Source organism: Homo sapiens, chromosome 15 (assembly GCF_000001405.40).
Source record: "Homo sapiens chromosome 15, GRCh38.p14 Primary Assembly".
Taxonomy (NCBI): Eukaryota; Metazoa; Chordata; class Mammalia; order Primates; family Hominidae; genus Homo; species Homo sapiens.
Window position 1 is genome coordinate 34,219,255 of NC_000015.10, and position 23,543 is coordinate 34,242,797.

General features: G+C 41.6%; 2 protein-coding genes across 15 annotated transcripts in view, besides 2 other annotated features; one reads left to right on the plus strand and one right to left on the minus strand.

The window, feature by feature from the left end:
* On the plus strand, window positions 5,762-10,902 carry EMC4 (ER membrane protein complex subunit 4). Of its 4 annotated transcripts, none has more exons than NM_001351373.2 (5): window positions 5,762-5,946; window positions 6,282-6,404; window positions 8,439-8,592; window positions 9,175-9,335; window positions 10,499-10,902. In NM_001351373.2, the coding sequence occupies exons 3-5, from the start codon at window positions 8,481-8,483 to the stop codon at window positions 10,532-10,534; spliced, it is 309 nt and encodes a 102-aa protein (NP_001338302.1). In that variant the 5' UTR covers window positions 5,762-5,946; window positions 6,282-6,404; window positions 8,439-8,480; the 3' UTR covers window positions 10,535-10,902. The 4 variants fall into 4 exon arrangements, 3 of the variants coding, with proteins under 3 accessions (NP_001338302.1, NP_057538.1, NP_001273349.1); NM_016454.4 differs by having other exon boundaries at window positions 6,282-6,396; NR_147140.2 differs by lacking the exon at window positions 9,175-9,335.
* Window positions 6,076-6,125: an enhancer, noted in NCBI's record as "active region_9175". NCBI's record gives its function as "activates an Ori minimal core promoter by ATAC-STARR-seq in GM12878 lymphoblastoid cells {active_cell/tissue: GM12878}" and the evidence as "EXISTENCE:reporter gene assay evidence [ECO:0000049][PMID:35858748]".
* SLC12A6 (solute carrier family 12 member 6) overlaps window positions 10,530-23,543 on the minus strand; it is a 108,274-nt gene continuing 95,260 nt past the window's right edge. For 8 of the 11 annotated variants that reach the window (NM_001042495.2, NM_001042494.2, NM_001042496.2 and 5 more), the window contains 10 exons: window positions 22,848-22,967; window positions 21,979-22,083; window positions 21,407-21,575; window positions 19,711-19,906; window positions 18,978-19,147; window positions 18,165-18,296; window positions 17,454-17,561; window positions 16,761-16,945; window positions 15,927-16,060; window positions 10,530-14,718 (listed from right to left, as the gene is read on the minus strand). In NM_001042495.2, the coding sequence (NP_001035960.1) occupies window positions 14,627-14,718; window positions 15,927-16,060; window positions 16,761-16,945; window positions 17,454-17,561; window positions 18,165-18,296; window positions 18,978-19,147; window positions 19,711-19,906; window positions 21,407-21,575; window positions 21,979-22,083; window positions 22,848-22,967 (1,411 nt within the window). In that variant the 3' untranslated portion in view covers window positions 10,530-14,626. Of the gene's footprint in view, window positions 14,719-15,926; window positions 16,061-16,760; window positions 16,946-17,453; window positions 17,562-18,135; window positions 18,297-18,977; window positions 19,148-19,710; window positions 19,907-21,406; window positions 21,576-21,978; window positions 22,084-22,847; window positions 22,968-23,543 lie in introns of those variants that run through there. The other 3 variants (NM_005135.2, XR_931960.4, XM_011522269.4) reach the window with 3 other exon arrangements.
* Window positions 19,552-20,751: an enhancer, noted in NCBI's record as "P300/CBP strongly-dependent group 1 enhancer chr15:34531007-34532206 (GRCh37/hg19 assembly coordinates)". NCBI's record gives its function as "activates an origin of replication core promoter dependent on BRD2, BRD4, P300/CBP, MED14 and CDK7 cofactors, with strong dependence on P300/CBP, by STARR-seq in HCT116 cells {active_cell/tissue: HCT116}" and the evidence as "EXISTENCE:reporter gene assay evidence [ECO:0000049][PMID:35650434]".

Below are 23,543 nucleotides of genomic sequence, written 5' to 3' on the forward strand. Positions count from 1 at the left end.
AGCTGTTCTCAATCCTCACTGCACAGCAGAATCACCTTGAGAGCCATAAGAAATACTGATGCCCAGGCCTCACCCAAAGCAAATGAATCAGAATCACTAAAGGTGTCATCCAGGCATATATATATATATATATATATATATATATATATATATATATATATATATATACACACAGAGAGAGAGAGAGAGAGAGACATAGAGAGAGAGACAGAGAGAGACGGAGTTTTGCTCTTGCTCTTGTTGCCCAGGCTGGAGTGCAATGGCAAGATCTCGGCTCACTGCAACCTCTGCCTCCCGAGTTCAAGCGGTTCTTCTCCCTCAGCCTCCCGAGAAGCTGGGATTACAGGCATGCGCCACCACGCCTGGCTAATTTTGTACTTTTAGTAGAGACAGGGTTTCTCCATGTTGGTCAGGCCGGTCTCGAACTCCTGACCTCAGGTGATCCGCCTGCCTTGGCCTCCCAAAGTGCTGGAATTACAGGCGTGAGCCACCGTGCCCGGCAAGCATCAATATTTTTAAGAGCTCTCAAGTTGATTCTCATGTGTATTCATAACAGAGAACCATTACATTTCTGTTTGGAATTATGTCATGTTATAATTAATAATATTTATGTTTTTCTAACTAAAAAGTAGTACCTGCACAATGCAGAGACCTAGGAAAACTGTAGGAAGGCACGATTTTAAAAAATTATCTGAAATCCCATTACTCCTTTGAGTGTCTATTACTGAGTGTTTTTTTTCGGGTGTATATGCATGGAAAGAATAGTACACTTTATATGTTTTTTTTTTAAAACGAGTATGATATATTTCAGAACTAGAAGGCACCCTTAGAAATCATCTAGTATAAATCTCTTATTTTATAGATGAAGAAATTAAAGTCAAGAGAGTCCCTAATTCAAAGTGAATCATGTAGTTCATTTGGAGTCAGGATTAAAATCCAGGTTTCTCAGGCTAGAGTGCAGTGGCACGATCTAGGCTCACTGCAGCCTTGACCTCCTGGGCTCCAGTGATCCTCCCACCTAAGCCTCCCAAGTAGCTGGGACTATAGACACAAGCCACTTTGCCAGCCTGATTTTTTATTTTTTGTAGAGACAGGGTTTCACCATATTGCCCAGGCTGGTCTCAAACTCCTGGCCTCAAGCGATCTGCCCACCTTAGCCTTCCAAAGCACAAGGATTACAAGGGTGAACCACCACACCAGGCCTGGAAAATCTTACACTAGTTTTCTTTTCCTTGCGAAACAAAATTTGTGCAAAAACTTTAAAACTTTAATTCCAACTTGAAGCTCCATTTCCATAAATAACCTATTATTTCTAATGATCTTCTAATATTTTAAAAATAACAAGCAAAGCTTTATAGGGGAGACCTTCATCTTTCTCCTGAAGAATTCTAGCATGCATATAGAGCAGCTGCCCTCACTGTATTCTGTGGAACACTGATTCTATTGGATGTTAACGAATGTATTAAGGAAAAAAAAACAACAAAAAACTGGTTCCTTACTCAAGTAGATTGGGAAACAAAATTAAAGGAGATTCTTTACCAAACCATTTCTTGTTGTTTTCATATGTTATACTAACGGCACTAAGACTCTCTTGAGTGTGTGTGCAGAATATAATATGTAGAATTTCTCAAATTTATCTAATCTTGGAACCATCCTCAGCCTAGTCCTGATGTGTTCATTTTTTGGAACGGAGTTTCACAAATAATACTATGAGGATTCCTAGGATAAAGAAATAAATGATCCAGAGTACTCCCACTGAGGCCAAAGCAACTTTTTATTTTTTGTTTATTTATTTTTTTTGCGACAGAGCCTTGCTCTGTCCCCCAGGCTGGAGTACAGTGGCACAATCTTGGCTCACTGCAACCTCCACCTCCTGTGTTCAAGAAATTCTCTGCCTCAGCCTCCTGAGTAGCTGGGATTATAGATGACTGCCATCACGCCCAGCTAATTTTTTGTACTTTTAGTAGGGACGGGGTTTCACCATCTTGGCCAGGCTGGTCTTGAACTCCTGACCTCGTGATCCACCTGCCTTGGCCTCCCAAAGTGCTGGGATTACAGGCGTGAGCCACAGCACCCAGCCCAAAGCAACTTTAATTTAGGTTATAGTTTACACATTTTTATAGCAAGTAGGGGAGTATTTAAGTAGAAAGAATATATGATTCCAATGACTAACTTAATGTTTTCAAAAGTGTTCATTTAAAACTTATTAAAGCAGGGCCAGGTGTGGGCTCATGCCTGTAATCCCAGCACTTTGGGAGGCCAAGGCGGGAGGACTGCTTAAGCTCAGGAGTTTGAGACAAGCCTGGGCAACACAGTGAGACCCTGTCTCAAAAAAATAGTAAGTAAAAAAAAATTATTAAAATGTGGCTAGGAGCAGTGGCTCACGTCTGTAATCCCAGCACTTTGGGAGGCTGAGGCAGGCAGATCACGAGGTCAGGAGTTCGAGATCAGCCTGGCCAATGTGGTGACACCCTGTCTCCACTGAAAATACAAAAATTAGCCAGGCGTAGTGGCACACATCTGTAGTCTCAGCTACTTGGGAGGCTGAGGCAGAAGAATTGCTTGAACCTGGGAGGCGGAGGTTGCAGTGAGCCGAGATTGCGCCATTGCACTCCAGCCTGGCAACAGAGCAAGACTCCATCTCAAAAAAAAAAAAAAAAAAAAAAGTATTAAAATGTAATAAGAAGGCCAGGTGTAGTGGCTTATGCCTGTAATCATCACTTTGCGTGGGCGAGGTGGGTGGATCACCTGAGGTCAGGAGTTTGAGACTAGCCTGGCCAACACAGTGAAACCCCATTTCTACTAAAAATACAAAAATGAACAGGGCGTGGTGGCGGGCACCTGTAATCCCAGCTACTCAGGAGGCTGAGACAGGAAAATTGCTTGAACCTGGGAGGCAGAGGATGCAGTGAGCCAAGATCGTGCCACTGCACTTCAGCCTCGGTGACAGAGTGAGACTCTGTCTCAAAAAAAAAAAAGAAAAGTGTAATAAGATTATCTTGAAAATTAGACAAAATTGCGTGAAAATTATTGCCCCAATAGAATGTATATCCATTTTTATGTTTTATTTTGCACAAGTGTAGTTATAGTACATTCACATCTTGGTGTTTGTTTACTTTCAATTTAATTTACTCACATTCGCTAAACATTTATTCAGTACTTTCTATGTTCTAGGCAACAGGCTCAAAGATAATATATAGCTTCTGACCTGGGGGGATTTAGGGTTGCCTATAGAGGGGTAGAAATAAGTGCTCAGGGGACTTTAACAAACAAAATGCAATGTGGTAAGTGCTATTATGCAGCATATAATGCAACAAAGAAGAATGCCCAATAGGGTCAGAAGCTTGAGATAAATATAAGGTTCATGAGACAGAACGTGGTAAAGACAAAAAGTAGAAAGGAGCAGAAACACAATCTATAGTTAGGTCTTCCTACAATCAGATAGATACACATTTTAGGATGGATTGGAGAGGCAAAAGACTTCCATTTCTGCCTTGTTTAAGTAGTCTGCTATGAACACATATTTTTAAAATCAGAAAATAAAGTGGAGGTGGCAATCTTCAGCCTCTCTTACATCATCATCATCTTCAAGAGTCCCAACTTTTTTGTTGGCCAAGGAAGCCTTTTTCAACCTTACCTCCCACAGCATCTCCTTCCCCCTAACTCCAGCCATATCGAATAACTTGGAGTCAAAGAAATACAAATTAAAAAATAATACAGTACCATTTCAAACTATTAAAAAAATTATAGACTGTGAAATGTAAATGGTGCCATTTTTCCTAGTGGACATTTTAATTTTTTTTGTTGTTGTTTGCAGAGGCAAGGTCTCACTATGTTGCCTAGGCTGGTCTTGAACTTCTGAGCTAAAGCAATCCTCCTGCCTCAGCCTCCCAAAGTTCTGGGATGACAGGTGTGAGCCACCACGCCTGGCTCCTGTGGGCATTTAAAATGAAAATTCTTTAAAAATGTGCATACTCTTTGATCCAGCAACTCCAATTTCACTTCTAGGACTATAACTTTAGGAAATAAGAAAAGACATACAGATATGTTCACAGCAACACTGGTTATAAAAGGAAGGAAAACAGGAAACAATTTAAATGTCCAATAATAGGCTATATTATGAAAAAGGTATACCATACAAAACCCAATCACTTTAAAGAATGACATACATTATTTAATGACACGTCATTAAAAACACATCAATGGTGTTATTTGGTAATGATGTGATACATCATTAAAAACACCACATAACCTAGCACTTTGGGAGGCCGAGGCAGGCAGATCACCTGAGGTCGGGAGTTCGAAACCAGCCTGACCAACACGGTGAAATCCCATCTCTACTAAAAATACAAAATTAGCTGGACGTGGTGGCGTGCGCCTGTAATCCCTGGTACTCGGGAGGCTGAGGCAGGAGAATTGCTTGAACCCGGGAGACGGAGGTTGCAGTGAGCCGAGATAGTGCCATTGCACTCCAGCCTGGGCAACAAAAGCAAAACTCCGTCTCGAACAAAAACACAAACAAACCAAACACCAGATATGTGGTGGGCACTAATCTCACAAGCCTTGAAAGTAGGTAGATTATCCAACTTTTACATGAAGAGGCTGAAACAAATTCAACTTGCCCAAGGTCATACAATTATTAAGTGGTGAAACCAGGATTCAAAAGGAGGCCATCTGCTGGGTGCAGTGGCCCATGCCTTTGTAATCTCAACATTTTGGGAGGCCAAGGCAGGAGAATCACTTGAACCCAAGAGTTTGAGAGCAGCCTGAGCAACATAGCGAAACCCTGTCAAAACAAAACAAAACAAAACAAAACAAGACTGGGGCGTGGTGGCGCGCCCTGTGGTCCTAGCTCCTCGGAACGCTCAGGTTGGAAGGAACGCTCAGGTGGGAAGATCGCTTGAGCCGGGGAAGTCGAGGCTGCAGTGAGCCGTGATAGCGCCACTGCACTACAGCCTCGGCAACGGAGTGAAACCCTGTCTCAAAAAACAAACCCAAAACAAACAACAACAAACGCAGGCTAACTGAATACCGAGCCCATGTCCCCTTCCATGCCCACAATGCTGCCTTGCCTTTGTGCAGAATGTGGTTAGAACTGTTTACCTCGCAAGGTTACTGTGCAAGTGAAATGAAATAAACACATGACACAGTGGACATTCAATACTCAGAAACTACTAAGTAACTCGCTCAAGGTCAAGCTAGGATTTAAACCCAGGATTTGAATCTTTTGTTCCAGGGAGCGCGTAGGAGGTTAAGAAGCTTTTCTTGGCTTCCTTTTTTTTTTTTTTGAGACAGAGTTTCGCTCTTGCTGCCCAGGCTGGCGTGCAATCGCTCGGTCTCAGTTCACTGCAACCTCCGGCTCCCGGATCCAAGCGATTCTCCTGCCTCAGCCTCCTAAGTAGCTGGGATTACAGGCGCCCGCCACTAAGCCCGGCTAATATTTTGTATTTTTAGTAGAGACGGGGTTTCACCATGTTAGCCAGGCTGGTCTCGAACTCCTGACTTCAGGTGATCCGCCCACCAATTCTTAACGCTGAGTCAGTATGGGCTTTCCTTCAGCCCCATAAAGTGCACCTCAGAGGTCAGGGAACACATAACAAGGACATTCAAAAGGGGAGCGCGCGGAAGTGGCTTTAGGAAGCACTAAGTCTTGCCTGGTTTTTTTTCCTCCCTGCTTTTCTAAATCCAAACCCGGACTCCTCAACCCACAGCACCACCAATTTCCAGGGCGGAAATGACGTCGTATTCACGCGCCGGAAGTGCATTTGCAGAGTGAGACAAAGCGGAGAACGCTGGTGGGCCTGTTGTGGAGTACGCTTTGGACTGAGAAGCATCGAGGCTATAGGACGCAGCTGTTGCCATGACGGCCCAGGGGGGCCTGGTGGCTAACCGAGGCCGGCGCTTCAAGTGGGCCATTGAGCTAAGCGGGCCTGGAGGAGGCAGCAGGTGAGGCACCTGGGCAAGCTGTACATCACTGTTCATCCCAGAACTGCACCAGAGTAATGAGACCTGAGCCCTCAGGCATAACTCTGAAAAAGATGGGTGGCACACAGACATCACCTGGGGAGGTAGCGGCTTTTCTGCCGTGGAAGTTTCTCTGCTCAAACAATGCTTACATCAGTCCTCCTGATAAGTCAAAGGACTGAGGAACATACGAGGGGGCTTGGTCTAATCTGAGTAGGTGCATCTGAAGATCTTTATTCCTATGATTGGTAGATCAGGAAATGTGGGATAAGAAGTATCGGAGGTTGCAGCTTTAGTTTCTTGGTTTGGTTTTTTAGGGGTCGAAGTGACCGGGGCAGTGGCCAGGGAGACTCGCTCTACCCAGTCGGTTACTTGGACAAGCAAGTGCCTGATACCAGCGTGCAAGAGACAGACCGGATCCTGGTGGAGAAGGTACAGAGGTATAGATGTTACCGTAGCCCATGGGCCAGTCCTGAGTTACACACTCATCCTCTTCTCCTAGGTGGAGTTAACGTAGATAGCTCTTATCCTGAAGATTTGGAAACTAAACTGCTTGAGGCTGGTATTTCGGTATTTTATATATCAGCTACAAAAGTGCTTAATAATTTGAAAAATAGAAGATGTTTGGAACATAAGGTATAAGAAAGTAGGTTGAAAACTATCTTTTGGTGGCAACATCTTCCAGTTGAAGTGATCCTTTTTCTACTCTGGTTCCCTTACACCACATATCCAACTGTCAGGATACTCTGTTGGCTTTACCTACTACTTTTTCCTGTGTTCACCTCTCATCCTAATCCAAGCCACCATCCTTCATCTAGATTTCTGCAGTAGCCCGGCTAATTTTTGTATTTTTAGTACAGACAGGGTATCACCATGTTTGCCAGGCTGGTCTTGAACTCCTGACCTCAGGTGATCCATCCGCCTTGGCCTTCCAAAGTGCTGGGATTGCAGGCATGAGCCACCGCGCTCGGCCCGGGGCTATTTATATTTCTAATTTCTCCTGTCATTTTGTTACATTTTTTCTAGAAACTTATCCATTTCCTAAAATTTCAAATGTATTGATATAAAGTTGTTCATAATATGATCACTTCCATATATGCAAGATCTGTGATGTTCATTTTTTCATTCCTGATATTGAATATTTTGTCTCCTCTCCTTTCTTCATCAGGCTCACCAGTATTGATTTTTTAAAAATTATTTTCATTTATTTTTACAGGTCACTGTACCCATCACCAGTATTGATTTTATTAATCTTTTCAAAAATACTTGGGTTTTTTTCTAGTTTCTTGAAATGGATGCTTAGTTTATTTTTAGACTGCCATTACTTTTTTTCTTTTCTTTTGAGACAGTCTTGCTGTTGTCGCCGAGGCTGGAATGCAATAGCACGACCTTGGCTCACTGCAACCTCTGCCTCCCAGGGTCAAGCAATTCTCCTGCCTCAGCCTCCCGAGTAGCTGGGATTATAGGCACCCACCACCACGTCCAGCTAATTTTTTTGTATTTTTAGTAGAGACGGGGTTTCACCACGTTGGCCAGGCTGGTCTGAAACTCCTGACCTCAGGTGATCCACCAAGCTCGGCCTCCCAAAGTGCTGGGATTACAGGTGTGAGGCACCGCGCCCGGCCACATTGCCATTACTTTTAATGGCAACAACCGCAGTTACTTTTGCAGCAACCTGGTAGTATGTATTTAAGGTTATAAATTTCTCAGAACTCTAGCTGTGTCCCACGAGTTTTAAAATGTGGTACTTTTGCTATCATATAAATCTATTTTCCATTATAATTTCTTCATGTATCATTGTTAATTCCCAAACATAAGAGATTTTCTAGTTACTATAAAATTATTTCTAGTTTAATATCATTGTAGTCAAAGAATATGTTTTGTACAATTTGCATTCTTTGAGATTGACATTTTCTTCATGGCTCAGCGAGTGGTCAGTTTTTGTGAATATCTTGTTTGAAAAGAATGTGAATTCTGCAATTGTTGAGTGCAGTGTTACATGTCAGTTGGGTTAAGTTTGTTAATGTCATTCAAATCTTCTATGTCTTGATTTGCCTGCTAATTCTATTATTTCTGGAACTAAATTAGTTCGATGGTTCTATTAGTTATTGACTGAGGTGTGCTAATCTCCCATTATGTGGATTTATCTATTTCTTCAGTTGTAGATAGGACATTGATAGATACATAAGTACCAGGACAAAAGCAGGGAGATCTTTTTTCCAAAATCAGGAGAAAAAAATGACATCTGGAAAACCTATAGGGAAAGGCATAACAGATGGTAAGGATACTTTATCTTGAGTAGGAGAGCCTTCCTGTGGCAACGTGGAGAAGGGAAGAGGTCGTAGAATTGAGGAGTCAGCTCAGTTAGAAGCAGGGAGTTGGGAATTCCGTTCATGTGATTTAGCATCAGTGATATGGCAAATGTGGGACTAAGGGTAGTGATCAGAGGGTTAAAATTGTGTGTTTTGTTTTAGCGCTGCTGGGACATCGCCTTGGGTCCCCTCAAACAGATTCCCATGAATCTCTTCATCATGTACATGGCAGGCAATACTATCTCCATCTTCCCTACTATGATGGTGTGTATGATGGCCTGGCGACCCATTCAGGCACTTATGGCCATTTCAGCCAGTAAGTATTCTTGAAACAATAACCCTTCCATAAGTTTGAAGAATTAAAGGCAGGCCGGGCATGGTGGCTCACGCCTGTAATCCCAGCACTTTGGGAGGCGCCAAGCTGGGTGGATCATCTGAGGGCAGGAGTTCGAGACCAGCCTGGCCAACATGGTGAAACCTTGTCTCTACTAAAAATGCAAAAATTAGCTGGGCGTGGTGGCACACGCCTGTAATCCCAGCTGCTTGGGAGGCTGAGACAGGAGAATCACTTGAACCTGGGAGGCAGAGGTTGCAGTGAGCCGAGATCGTGCCACTGCACTCCAGCCTGGGTGACAGAACGAGACTCCATCTCAAAAAAAAGGAAGAATTAAAGGTAAATTCTTAGGGACAGTTTTTGGCTAACAGGTATATAGGGGAGTGGGGTAATGGTGGTGGCATGGAGGGGAGTGTAGTGCTTACCATGGTTTTCTGTTTGCCTTTAATGGTCCTATTTGCTGTCTTACTATGGGTCTGTCTATATGAATTTAATATACAGTTGGCTTGATTCGTATTGGGGGAAAGAGTTCTTTTGGTTTGACAACTTCTGTTACCGCAACAGCTTTCAAGATGTTAGAAAGTTCAAGCCAGAAGTTTCTTCAGGGTTTGGTCTATCTCATTGGGAACCTGATGGGTTTGGCATTGGCTGTTTACAAGTGCCAGTCCATGGGACTGTTACCTACACATGCATCGGATTGGTTAGCCTTCATTGAGCCCCCTGAGGTAAGGCAAAAGAAAAGCTGAATTTTGGGTAGTTGTAGTATACAGTGAATAGCTGACCTACTTGATGGTAGGAAATTGGAGTTGGTATTTGAGTTTCTTTTTTTTTTTTTTTTTTTTTTTGAGACGGAGTATTGCTCTGTCGCCCAGGCTGGAGTGCAGTGGCATGATCTCGGCAACCTCCGCCTCCTGGGTTCAAGCAATTATTCTGCCTCAGCCTTCCAAGTAGCTGGGATTACAGGCACCTGCCACCATGCCCAGCTAATTTTTTTGTATCTTTTAGTAGAGATGGGGTTTCACCATGTTGGCCAGGCTGGTTTTGAACTCCTGACCTCAAGTGACCTGCCCACCTCTGCCTCCCAAAGTGCTAGGATTACAGGCGTGAGCCACTGCGCCTGGCCTAGGGTTTCTTAAAAAATAAGAGCCATTAGGAGTTTTTAAGTTATTATTTTTAATTAATTAATTAATTTATTTATTTTGAGACAGAGTCTCACTCTGTCGCCCAGGCTGGAGTACAGTGGTGTGATCTTGGCTCACTGCAACCTCCGCCCCCCAGGTTCAAGCGATTCTTGTGCCTGAGCCTCCCTAGTAGCTGGAATTACAGGCAACTGCCACTGCACCTGGCTAATTTTTGTATTTTTAGTAGAGACAGGGTTTCACCATGTTGGCCAGGCTGGTCTTCAGCTCCTGACCTCAGGTGATCCACCCACCTCGGCCTCCCAAAGTGCTGGGATTACAGGTGTGAGCCACCATGCCTGGCCAAGTTATTATTTTTGAAACAGGGTCTTGCTCTGTCACCCAGGCTGGAGTGCAGTCATGTGATCATGGCTCACTGCAGCCTCAACCTCCGGGCTCAGGCACTCAGCCTCTCAAGTAGCTGGGACTACAGGTGTGCACCCCAATGGCTCGCTAATTTTTGTATTTCTTGTAGAGACAGGGTTTTGCCATGTTGCCCAGGCTGGTCTTGAACTCCTGGGCTCAAGCGATCTGCCTGCCTTGGCCTCCCAAAGTGTTTAGCTAAGATTAGCTACTGCGCCTGGCCTGGAAGTTCTTTTTTAAGGATAGGCAAAATAGAGCTTGTGGTTAAAGTATTAAGTAATTGATTCAGGAAGTTATTTTAACACTCATTTGCCACTCACCTATTTATTCTTTCTTTCTTCTTTCAGAGAATGGAGTTCAGTGGTGGAGGACTGCTTTTGTGAACATGAGAAAGCAGCGCCTGGTCCCTATGTATTTGGGTCTTATTTACATCCTTCTTTAAGCCCAGTGGCTCCTCAGCATACTCTTAAACTAATCACTTATGTTAAAAAGAACCAAAAGACTCTTTTCTCCATGGTGGGGTGACAGGTCCTAGAAGGACAATGTGCATATTACGACAAACACAAAGAAACTATACCATAACCCAAGGCTGAAAATAATGTAGAAAACTTTATTTTTGTTTCCAGTACAGAGCAAAACAACAACAAAAAAACATAACTATGTAAACAAGAGAATAACTGCTGCTAAATCAAGAACTGTTGCAGCATCTCCTTTCAATAAATTAAATGGTTGAGAACAATGCATAAAAAAAGTTGCACAAGTTCCTTATTTTCCTTAATATTTCACTTCTATTTAATACAAGCTGGGACATAAAAATTCTGTTGGGGATACCTGGGGGAAGATGTGAGAAACTAATGCTGAATTCAGCTTATACATGATGAAAAGAAAAACCAGACAAAAGGAGCACATAAATATGCATACAGTGTAACTGTTATTATTTTAATACCCACGATAAGGGATTTTTGTTAGCATGTTTAGGGGGAACGAGGATTGGTGGGATCCTTGGGCCACAGGAATCTGAGGCAACGGAAGATATATAGAGTGATCGTCCCCCTGCCGAAGGAACCTGGCACCTGTCAAGCAGATGCTGCAGTTCAAACTTCAGCTTTTAAGATAGATAGCTATTGAAGGCAGAGGGTCAGCAGGAGGATGTGTATTTCTAATCTACCCTGGTAAAGTCATAGGTAAGACTCAAAAGCGGGATCTTATTCAAAAGGCAGGTATTTCCTTTGTTTTCTGTCTTGAAATAGCCCCTTCCCCTAAGGTGCATTCTCTCAAGTTTTCAGTATTGCTTTATTTGCAGTGATTAAAAGAGATGAGAGACTTTGGAGACAGACAACGTAAGCAACACATACACACATGAAATACTCTAGACAGACATGAATATAAATCTGGCCTAATAACCAGTTTTCCATGTAACAGTGATTTTGTGTTTCGGGCTGAAGCAGTGGTTATATTAAAAGCCACTAATTCCCTTATCCCTTTAAAAGATTTTTACAATTCTCCAACCACAAACAGCACTTCTAAAACTAACTTTACTTTCTGCCCATAATTTGTTCTACATGGAAAAAAAAAATATTACTTTGGCCAGGGGTGTGTGTAAATGTGGCAGAATTCCTAGGCAGGCTGACCTTTACAGTATGGGCCTTTAAGATACTGGATCCTGGTTGGGCACAGTGGCTCACGCCTGTAATCCCAGCACTTTGGGAGGCCAAGGCGGGCGGATCACCTGAGGTTGGGAGTTCGAGACCAGCCTGACCAACATCAGTTTCAGTAGAGAAACCCCGTCTCTACTGAAAATACAAAATTAGCTGGGTGTGGTGGCACATGCTTGTAATTCCAGCTACTCGGGAGGCTGAGGCAGGAGAATCGCTTGAACCCAGGAGGCAGAGGTTGCGGTGAGCCAAGATTGTGCCATTTCACTCCAGCCTGGGCAACAAGAGCGAAACTACGTCTCGGAAAAAAAAAAAAAAGATACTGGATCCTGCAGGACATGACTCACTACTGTTAAACTCAACTAAGCAATGGAGTGTTGCAGTGGGAGTTGTAAATAATGCTTCTACCATCTGTAGGAAGTAACAGAAAAAAAGACTTAAGATCCTATCCGCTTTGCCATCCTCAGTGGGCCTGGAGGTTGAAGCAAGCAAAGGGAACAAATCAAAATTACTCAATTTCTTTCTTTCTTTCTTTTTTTTTTTTTTTGAGATGGAGTCTCCCTCTGTCGCCCAGGCTGGAGTGCAGTGGTGCAATCTCGGTTCACTGCAAGTTCCACCTCCCGGGTTCACGCCATTCTCCCGCCTCAGCCTCCCAAGTAGCTGGGACTACAGGCGCCCGCCACCATGCCCGACTAATTTTTTTGTATTTTTGTAGAGACAGGGTTTCACCGTGTTAGCCAGGATGGTCTCAAATCTCCTGACCTCGTGATCCGCCTGCCTCGGCCTCCCAAAGTGCTGGGATTACAGGCGTGAGTCACTGCACCCGGCCCAAAATTACTCAATTTCTTAAGCTATATTGAAGGGTTTTCTCTGTCCTTACAGGTCAAATGAATAATTTGTGACACCTAGGTCAGCTTGCTCCATGTCCTATTTAGTAATCAAAGAAGAGTGGCACTATTTATGACTAATAAATTGAAATTCAAAAACAGCCATGAATACAGGCAAGAAAAGTTTCTCTAAATAACTATTCTGTAAAAGAAATGAAGATTTCACATACTTGAAATTACTGCTCAGCCAGCCACATAAGTAGTTTCCCTATGCTTGTAAGCCAGATGTTTGATCAGTATATTAGTAAATAAAAAGCTGAGCTTACACAAGTATTTCCTTGGCACACTGAACTTTCTTTTTGAAACATATCACTCTGTTACCCAGGCTGGAGTGCAGAGGTGCAATCCTGGCTCACTGCAACCTCCGCCTCCTGGGTTCAAATGATCCTCCTGCCTTAGCCTTCCGTGTTGCTGGGATCACAGGCATGCACCACCATGCCCAGCTAATTTTTGTATTTTTAGTATAGACAGGTTTTCACCATGTTGGCCAGGATGGTCTCGAACTCCTGACCTCAAGTGATTCACCTGCCTTGGCCTCCCAAAGTGCTGGGATTACAGGTGTGAGCCACGGCACCCGGCCTGAAGTTTCTGAAAACAAATTAGAAGACTGTTGGCTTGGCTAATCTCGTAGTTCAGGGCCAAGTTTCTGTAGTCAGAATGAAGAATAAAATTGAAAGAAAAAGGGGGAAATGCTTATACTTGGCATTAAGTTGAATGCCTCAAGTCTTAACTATGGCTTTGTAGATGAGGCAAAAGATTTCTTAGTGGTAAAATTTCTTCAACAGGTCAATGCCAATCTGTATGCCATTTTAGTAAAGTAGGTAAGGAGAGTAGCCGCTCAGTAACGTTGGCACTAAAGAAAGAGTGTGGCTCTAGAACTTCCAATTCCATTGCTAGATGTGCCCTTTAAAAGATGGTCCAGTGCTTTCAGGGAAGGATGTTTAGCCAGTTTTCCTAGTATTTGTTCCTTAAGATTTTTTGACCTGTGCTTAATAAGAGGGCATAAAAAAAGGCGCGGGGGTGGGGGCGGGGGGAGAAGAACCTGTTGATTAATGTGCACCATGACCTGCATTTCTTAGACAACAGCTTGTATGTTTTGTCCATGTTGTATAGAGAACCACAGACTATTTCAGTAAATGTTAATAGCTTCCTTTTGGAGTTCTCTTAGTTCGGCCATTTGAAAGGAACCTGAAAGAAATAATTTTTACCTTACCAAAAACAATTTCCATGGTAACACTGCCTGTGTTACAATGACAGAATGGGTTTTGAGTTAAGAGAAACAAAACAGTTGAAGTATACACTGACACAGTATTTGGATATTTAAATCTGGTATTTTGGGGGGATGTTTTTGAAGAAGTAGAGGCTGCAGCCATGTTTCAAGTTAGTATCCTAATATAAAATTACAGCAGTGGGTATACTAAAGAAATATAGCTAAAAAATGTTTGCATCTTGGCTTGCCGAGGATAATAGGTCCAAATATACTTGACCATAAATTCTTTAGTAAGATGAAGCTGTCTCTAGTTGTTATCCTCACAGTGTCAACATTGAACCATGACTTCTGAGATTCATCTTTAATGCTGAATACGTACTTGACTTGCTTTTTTTCTTCAGTTGAATTTCTAGCATCCCTTTTACCAATTCATTTATTGGCTCAGCTTGTTAATTCTAATTTGCCTTTGACTGCTCAGACGTGGCTTGAAAGACTTGAGCATTGTTCTGATGTTGAGGGAATATTTGCTTTTTCTGTAATGACTGCAGATCAGATGGGAGCTCTTTTACACAGGTACTTGAGGCTCAGCTCATCAAGAGTTCAGTATGATGTGTACAGAACACAGGCTTCTAGTTGAGTGGGAGTGGTAGTAATGAGCTGGCACTTCCATGGAGGACGTAGGCCTTTTAAGAAAACAGGTCAAGCACGGTCATTCAGAGTAGGTTATGAATAAATGGTGATCACTTCACTGCCACCACCCCGGACAAGTAGGACTCGCTCTAGTCCCTCGGTAAGCACCTCTAGGAACTCCATGTCTTCAAAACTTGTCAAGGAGACAGGCAAAAGAAGAGCACAAACTTAAAACCTGGCATCATCATAATCTGAGGTTATCTGATCATAGAGCTACAAAATTAGCTGCTTAATTATTATATATTCAGAAAAGTCTGAACTTTGGATTGAATTTAACCCTGTGAAGTAACCAGAGATCCAGTCCTTTTGCATACATAATACCAGACTCCCATTTGTGTATTTAAAAAATGGGAAAACCTAGAAGTGTTACTCTAAATAAGATAAAAATGATGAAAGAAGAAGAAAAGCCACAATAGGGCAGCTAACAAGATTCCTAGAGAGAACCCAAGTAATTTCTAAGTGAAGCTGCTCAAGTCAGATTTTTCTGCCAGTTCGGTTTGTCTTTTTCTTTTTAAACCTTTTTCTTTTCTTTCTTTTTTTTTTGAGACAGAATTTCCTCTTGTTGCCCAGGCTGGAGTGCAATGGTGCGATCTTGGCTCACTGCAACCTCCACCTCCTGGTTCAAGTGATTCTCCTGCCTCAGCCTCCCGAGTAGCTGGGATTACAGGCACCTGCTACCACACCCAGCTAACTTTTCTATTTTTAGTGGAGACGGGGTTTCACCATGTTGGCCAGGCTGGTCTCGAACTCCTGACCTCAGGTGATCCACCTGCCTTAGCCTCCCAAAGTGCTGGGATTACAGGCATGAGCCACCACACCTGGCCTAAACCTCTTCTTTCTTAATGGTACTGGTGGGAATAAGCTAATTTATGTGTCAATGCTGAAGGGTTTCCCGTATCCCAGGAGTCCTGGGATGAAGGTATGAGGAAGAATCCCTATCTCTTTTTTCCCCTCAGTTAAAGGAGGTTCTATCTCAGCTTCTCCCCTAACTCTATCCAAAAGAAAGGCTTTGCAAAGCGGGTAGAACCTAAAAAGGCGAAAGGATGTGGGTATGCTGTCTGTAGGATTGTCAGGAAGGGTTTTATACACTGAATATTAGATGTCATGTTGCAAATACACCACCTAAAACTAGAACTGAATTATATTTGCCCCAACTCCCCTAAAAGAGTTTAATCTTATAACTTTGTAAAAATCCTTGCCTAGGACTTTTAAGTCTCCCTTCCTTAAAGAGGGAAAGTGGGGCATAGACAATGACTTTTATTGTTACCTAGTTATCTCAGAAAGAGGTTAAGGAGATTTTCCCTACTGGAAGCCCCACTCTTGGAAAGGATACAGTTTTCATCACCCTCAGGGTTTCGGGGTGGCCCTGGCATATTCAATAAAACCAGCTTTGCTTCATGGGACTTGTTAACTATAACCTCGTTGAGTTTCACTGCTGTATGCATCCGCCTCACATTGGACTGGTCCCTGAGTGGGGAAGAAATAAAGGTTGTTAAGGTAAAAAGACAACTAGCCATAAAGTCAACGTTAAAAACTTGAGATCCTGAGCTTTTTCACTTGACTATGGATAATCTGATAAAATGATTTTTTTTTTTTTTTTTTTTGAGAGGGAGTTTCGCTCATGTCACCCAGGCTGGAGTGCAATGGTACAATCTCAGCTCACAGCAACCTCCGCCTCCCAGGTTCAAGTGATTCTCCTGCCTCAGCCTCCCGAGTAGCTGGGATTACAGGCCCCCACCACCATACCCGGCTAATTTTTTTTGTATTTTTAGTAAAAACAGGGTTTCACCATGTTGGGCAGGCTGGTCTCGAACTCCTGACCTCAGGTGATCCACCCGCCTCTGCCTCCCAAAGTGCTGGGATTACAGGCGTGAGCCACTGTGCCCAGGCTAAAATGGTTTCTTTATGATATTAATATCTGGGTTTTCTCATTCTCTGTTGGCTTATTTTATAGTAAGAACACAGTATGGAGGTGAACTATGTGGATAGAGGGGATGGTTAGCTTGTGTACAGTGTTCATTGGGAGCCAGTATGAACAGGCAAACAATAATGAGGTGGCTAGATTCAGGGTGAAATGAACAGACTCCATCCTGTGTGTCCAGGCAAAGTCACATTTGTGCCACTGATTAGGTAATTTTATGATAAACTTGGGAGTGGGAAAACTTACGGACGCATGTTAAGCAGGTCCTGGAATCCTTCCATTGACTTCGCTTTTTGTCCCCGGGATGCCATGTACTTGTCTTTTGTCCAAGTCATGTGCACCTTCTCCTGATAGGTTTCTGTCTCTTCGTCCTCATCAGAGCCAATGCTGGTCAATCGTAGCATTGAGTTTCGGTCTTTCACCAATTGTGCCTGAGGAAGAAGGTCCAACACAAGTTATTCTACCAAATTTTCTCTTATGCTTCATCTTTGGTTATTTTGAAGCAGTAATGGGTTATAGTGGAATAACTGACAGAGTGAGAAGGAATTTGTCATCCTTGAAAACAATATAGTATCATCCCTTTTTTTTTTGGTTTGAGACAGAGTCTTCCTCTGTCACGCAGGCTGGAGTGCAGTGGCGTGATCTTGGCTCACTGCAACCTCCGCCTCCTGGGTTTAAGCACTTCTCTGCCTCAGCCTCCTGAGTAGCTGGGATTACAGGCATGTGCCACCATGCCCGGCTAATTTTCGTACTTTAGTACAGATGGGGTTTCACCATCTTGGCCAGGCTGGTCTTGAACTCCTGACCTCTTGATCCACCCGCCTCGGCCTCCAAAAGTGCTGGGATTACAGGCGTGAGCCACCATGCCCAGCCCAGTATCATCCCTTTCAGTGACAGACTTTAGAGAGCACGGATTGGATTGATGCAGTAATGTCTCACCTCTCTGTCTCGCTCTGTTTTGGATAGCCGCATGTGCCGGAGCATCTGGGACCTTTGTTCCATCATCAAAGTGCGCTCGTAAGTATATGCTGATATATCACTGTCATGCTGCCATAGACATCACATAAAAGGGGCAAAAAGCACAAAGGAGAAAGAAGGATGAACCATACATTTTTATTTCCAGTCACTAAATTAAACCAGGGACAGCATCACTATATTAACCTAAGCTTCACCCTTACTTTGTTTAGTCATTGAGCTACATAAATGTTTTTGTGACTGTAGATAAAATTCAGAGGCCCTGAGAGTCTTTTCCATAATCTAACCAAGACATGTGTTGCCTTGAAACACAAAATACAAACTCCAGTCTCTCTTTTTTATACTGTTAGGTTTTTTTTAAAAGCCATGTGTGATTTTAAGCTGAATATATGAATAAAAATTTCATAAAACTATATTAAGCAGATGAGAATCTGGCAGAAATATAAGGGCTGTGTAATAAACAAGAAAGCAAAACCAAAAAATAACATCAAACATGCATCACATATACATTCTACTTAGGGCAACAAATTAGGGTTTTTTTTTGTTTTTTTTTTGGCACTAGGGGATTAATCCACATTTAGATCTGAAAAATTTCCCAAACCAGAAAAGATTCAAGGAAGACAGGGAGAGGAATGGGGGAATGAACCTCTTGTATCTCAAACTCAGCTTTCTCACCATCTCCACCACTTCTACCTCCGCCTCAATGCGTAAGTGATATAGGAAGGTGGCTAGGTCCTTCTTCATTTGGATACTGTTGTCTTCTAATTGGGCTACTGTGAAGATCCGTATGCTGCACTTTCGCCACACCTGAGAGAGTGACATACACATGTGAAAAATTAGAGCAAGGAGGCAAAAAAGGTTATTTCCTAAGACATTAGACATTGTGGTCTAGAAGAACCTTGCTATATGTAGTATAAGGCTATTTGTTCCTAGCTTCCTACTTGCTATGTTATTGTATTAGGGCAAAAGATTGACTAAACACCACATTTAATACAGTTTTAAGGAGTCCTTAATTTCATAACAAGAAAACACTGGCAAAAGAAAAGATGGTTCACGATACGTTAAGAGGGTACTTTATTCAGACAGTGTATCAATGACAACATGCAGACTATATATTTACTATTTTAAATCTCATTTAATTAGTCTTACCACGGAATGAGCGCATATATGCGTGCAATACACACATATACATATACCTTAAGTTTTCAGTATTTTTTAAAAAAAGATGTGTTCACTTGTTGTTTTCCCCTAGGGCTCATATGGAACTTTATTAATTGGCTGAATTTCACTTGGAGATAAGTAGGTATCAAATACAAAGACAATGATTTCTCTTGTTTGAAAGTGGGATCATGGGAAAGCCTAGAATAACTTCCAACTCTTCTGATTCTAAACCCCAACACTATTATAATCAGAGGAAGAATTTGTCTGTCCTGTGAACCAGGACAGAAGGGAGAAAGACTTTTGTAAAAAAAAAGTTGTATAAAATACCTTGTGCTGTTTCAGTAGGAATGGTAGTAGCATAAGCATCCCCCCATCATGCACAATCCACCACACATCAATGTTGCCCTCAGAAAATTGCTCCACATTGCTGGGAAAGAAGGAGATGTTTTTAGCCACCAGCAGTGCAAGATGGGCAGCAGTTGTCACTCGAACTGTGCCTAGGGAGAAAAAAGAATAAGCAGAGAAGAATCCTTAGGCTTGCCTTGCTTCCTAGCATGTCAGGAAAGCAAGGAAATGCTCTTTTCACACTTCTTTGAGCAAGGGGTCCTATTTACTTAGTAGGTTATTTCTCATTACGTATCAAAAACCATTGTGAAAAATCTGAATAGCTAACAGACTGAGAACCACAGTTTATGTTACTAGGTATATTCCCATTACTACATTTCTAAGGGGGGATATGTGAATTTGAGAGATTATGATGCTGAAGAACAATTCTTGCAATTCCTGTGAGAACATCAATATGGAAAATCACAAATGAAAACACGGCAATTTTGGAGATAATTCCTAGCACAAGACTTGACAGAAATAATTCATGAACATAATGTGAAGCTGAAGGGGGTAGGTAGAATCTGGGTATTACTACCAATAGTTTTTCAGGTTGCCTTATAAGACTATGCTTCAGCAATGGCATAGTCTCTACTTTAGGAGGCTGGGGGTGACAGAGATTTAACTATATACCCTCGACTTGGGCCTTTAGGTTTGTATGAGAAATGGTTAGTACCAATAAAAGTCTTCCAAGCGCGGGCATCTTCGCTTTGACGCCAGCCATTAGGCCAGCCCATCACCACCGTGTTGTGCTTCATGCCCCCAAGGCCACATGACTGGATGAGGTGGGAAATGCCCTCTCTCAGCTTGGCGGCCACCACCAGCTGGCAGAATCCTTTTACCTTCTCTGCCTCCATTAGGTGCTTTATGGTCTGAAAGAGACACAGGACCGCAACACTGAACTGGTTCACTCTGGACATTTTAACCCATTGTTCCTTCTCCATATTATATCCCCCACCTTTTTCCAAAGTCTTCATAATACTATATCATCTACAGAAAAGTCCAAAAAGTTAAAATTATCCCAAAGGAATTTCATGATCTTTTGTCTTTTTGCTTACTACGTATTTTTGCCTCTGTAGCTGGTTGTCTACATGTAGTTTCTCTGCTTTTTCCTCTGTTCTGCTTTTGTTCCTTTGCACCATACCAAAAAACTGGGAACAGGGATCTCTACAAAGTGAATATTCAACATTCTTTCTCAGTTGACCAGGGTGATTCACTATTGTGAACACGATCTCCTTCCTGCCTCAGCCCCAGTCATGCCCTGACTCATCTTACCAGAAACTCAGTATGATGATTCAGTTTCACTTTAGAATTTTCTCAGGTATGTTTTCTTTTTCGCCTCTCCCATTCCCATATGCTTTTTGACATTTTAATGGTGATTATTCATGACACTTGTATTTGCATTACTCTTCCTTTATTTAGTCAAACCAATTTGGAGATATCATCTCATTTACTCTTACTCCACCCTGGGAATAATGGTATGGAAAATGGAATGATTTTTGCAAAGGCACAGATTAAATCAGTGATGCGGCTAAGAACTAGGCTCTCCTGATTTTCAATCCTGTGTACCTTTTATTAATTTTTACCATCATTCTGGAGTAATGTTTCTTCAGCATTTCTAGTGTTTAGGATTTCAAAGGATTCCAAAATGAAATCCAGTAAAACTTTTTTTTTTAAATACTTTAAGTTTTAGGGTACATGTGCACAACGTGCAGGTTTGTTACATATGTATACATGTGCCATGTTGGTGTGCTGCACCCATTAACTCGTCATTTACATTAGGTATATCTCCTAATGCTATCCTTCCCCCCTCCCCCCACAGTAAAACTTTTGAAATGCCATTGAACACAATGGCATTTCAAAAACAATAGGATTAGTTCTATCATATATAATAAGTATTAGAGTGAAAACAACTTCCTTGTTAAAGTAGAACTTTAATGTTCAATACAGCTAACCAGAAGTGGCAAAGGAATCTTGCTCATGATACCACGTAGATTAGTAAAGAGGAAGAAAATTTGGTCATTACTCCTTGTTGTCACAAGATTGAGAGGAACCCTCTCCATAGTTCAAGGGATCAATTTATTTACATGACTTTTCTCAGTGCTTAGATTAATGTTTGGAGTATATTTGAACATAAGGTTTAGACTTAATAATCTTATAATTTAGTAATGCTTTAAACAGGAAGAAATAATAAATAACTATTTTTGGCTCATCTTATTATTTGGGAAAAAGTGTCCTTTCAAAGGTCAGCACTAAGTGAGAAACCTCCTAGATCACTCAGGAACAAGATTCAAGTAGAAGTTTGAGGTCTTACTACTTAACATCACAAAGCTGTAAACTGAGTTCCAATACCTCAAAAGCCTGACTCTTACCTGCTCAGCAGCTAAAGCTTCACCGTAGTTCTCTAGGAAGTTCCCCACGATGACAGAGCCCACAATAGTGAGACCTTTTCCTGCTTTGAGCTGTGAGGCAAAGGTGAGGAGGCGAGGATGCTTGACATGTAAGTCTTCATCTAGTTTCAGTAATACAAGCAACTGAGGCCTGTGAAGAGGTTGGTGGGGGTTGGAGGGGAGGAGAAAACATTTTGGGTTTGGGGAACAGAATGACAGACTCCACCCTTTAATTCAGGAGATCTGTATGAAACAGGTAATTTGACAGAAGGAAGAGATCACAGGAGATGACAGGATAAGGGCATTATTTTGAATGCTCCCAGTACTATCTCAAGTTGATCAGTCTTCAAGGAAGAATAATAAATTGTAGAAATCTTGATCATAAACGACATGAAGAAAAGGGAATAAAAAAATTAAGGATTTAGAATAGTTCAAAACAGGTCCATTATACCAATTCCTTGAGCCACATATGGTTTCCTTATCCTAAAATCAACAAAACACATATTTTTGTGTGTTAACCATGTGCCAAATACTGCTAGTGTTGATTTCTTTACCTCCAGTTTTTAGTGTGTGGAGGTCCTTCCTCCAATCGAAGCAAAGCAAACCGGGCTGCACTGAGGGACAGCCCACGGATACCATCACCCCATTCTTTCTCAGCTCTGTGAGAAAAAGAAAAGAGCAGAGACAAATTTAAACTATAGTAAGTATAATTTTAAAAAATAAAGTTTTTTTCTGAATCTAAAAATCACACATGTGCAAGGTAGAAGATTAAAGCTCAGATTAATGATTTACATAATGTTCTTTACTAACATAATGAACCTGATGTAGGTAGATCAACAGCACCAACAGACTGCACTGCACAAACAGTTCCCAATAAAGCCTGAAGGGGTCACTCATTCAGTCCTTCTATGTAATTGTTCAAAACAATAATGTAAAAGAGCAATTTAGATTAGAAAATTATAACAGACCTGGAGTTTAAGTTACTTTGAAAATAATGCAGAGAAAGTAAAGTTCAATGTGATCTTCTGAATAAGAATGTTATTTCGTCCTCATTTTTGAAAGCTGTAAGTCTTAGTAGTTACTAAGTTGTTCAGAACTAATTTCTTTTTCATTTCAGAGACAACCCCTTGACTGAAGAGATAAGCAAAAATATTTACATTTGTGTTGTACTTTGTTTAGTACTAATTATTATTATTTGGAAATGTCCTTTGTTATTTTCCATTGATCCATTCATACTTTCTCAATGGATCTCCCTTGTGATGAAAAGCTTGCATCATTAAGATGGTTAAAGAATTAGGGGTACAAAATATAGTTATGAAAATGAAGTTACCTGAGTCCTTAAGATATTTTCACTGAGCTGGCTCTAACCAAACTAGCTAGTCTTGCTACTTTTAGCAGTGATCAAGATTAAATCCACACTCACCCTTGGTATTCAATGTACTTGTAGATCATACCAGCTATTACCATGGCTACAATGGCATAATACCAGGAAGAAATGAACATCAGAGCCAGACAGATACTCATTCCCATGAAAGAAAGGGCCCTAGAAAATTAAAAACAAAAAAGTATCTTTTAAAGTAGCTGAAAAAGAAGCCTATGTTAAAGGTGCTTCTCAAACTATCTGTGGTGAGGTATTATTTTTTAAAAACTTTGAAACTATTATAAATAGAACTTTTGTAAAATGCAATAAAAATGAATTATTCGAAAAATTATCACATGCCTGGATGCTGTAGCAATGTCAAACTGCCACAAAAGTTTCTAAATGATTATTCTCAATTCTATAGTTGTCTTATCATGAAACAGTCGGTAGATGTGCACTAAACCCCAAACTGTCCTTTGCAACAGAAGATGTTTCCAACTGCTGGAAAACCATATAAATAACGGAACACTATCAGTCATCTGCAGTTATGAGGACAATTAATACTTACTTGGCAAAGCCAGGATGGGACACGCAGCCAGAAATGTTAATAACTCTAGGATCTTTTTAAAAAATTTCATATAAATATTTCTAAAAATTTTATAAATACTTATTAGCATAACTGCAGAACTCACTGAGAAAAATTATTTTTGGGCCGGATGCGGTGGCTCACAGCTGTAATCCCAGCACTTTGGGAGGCTG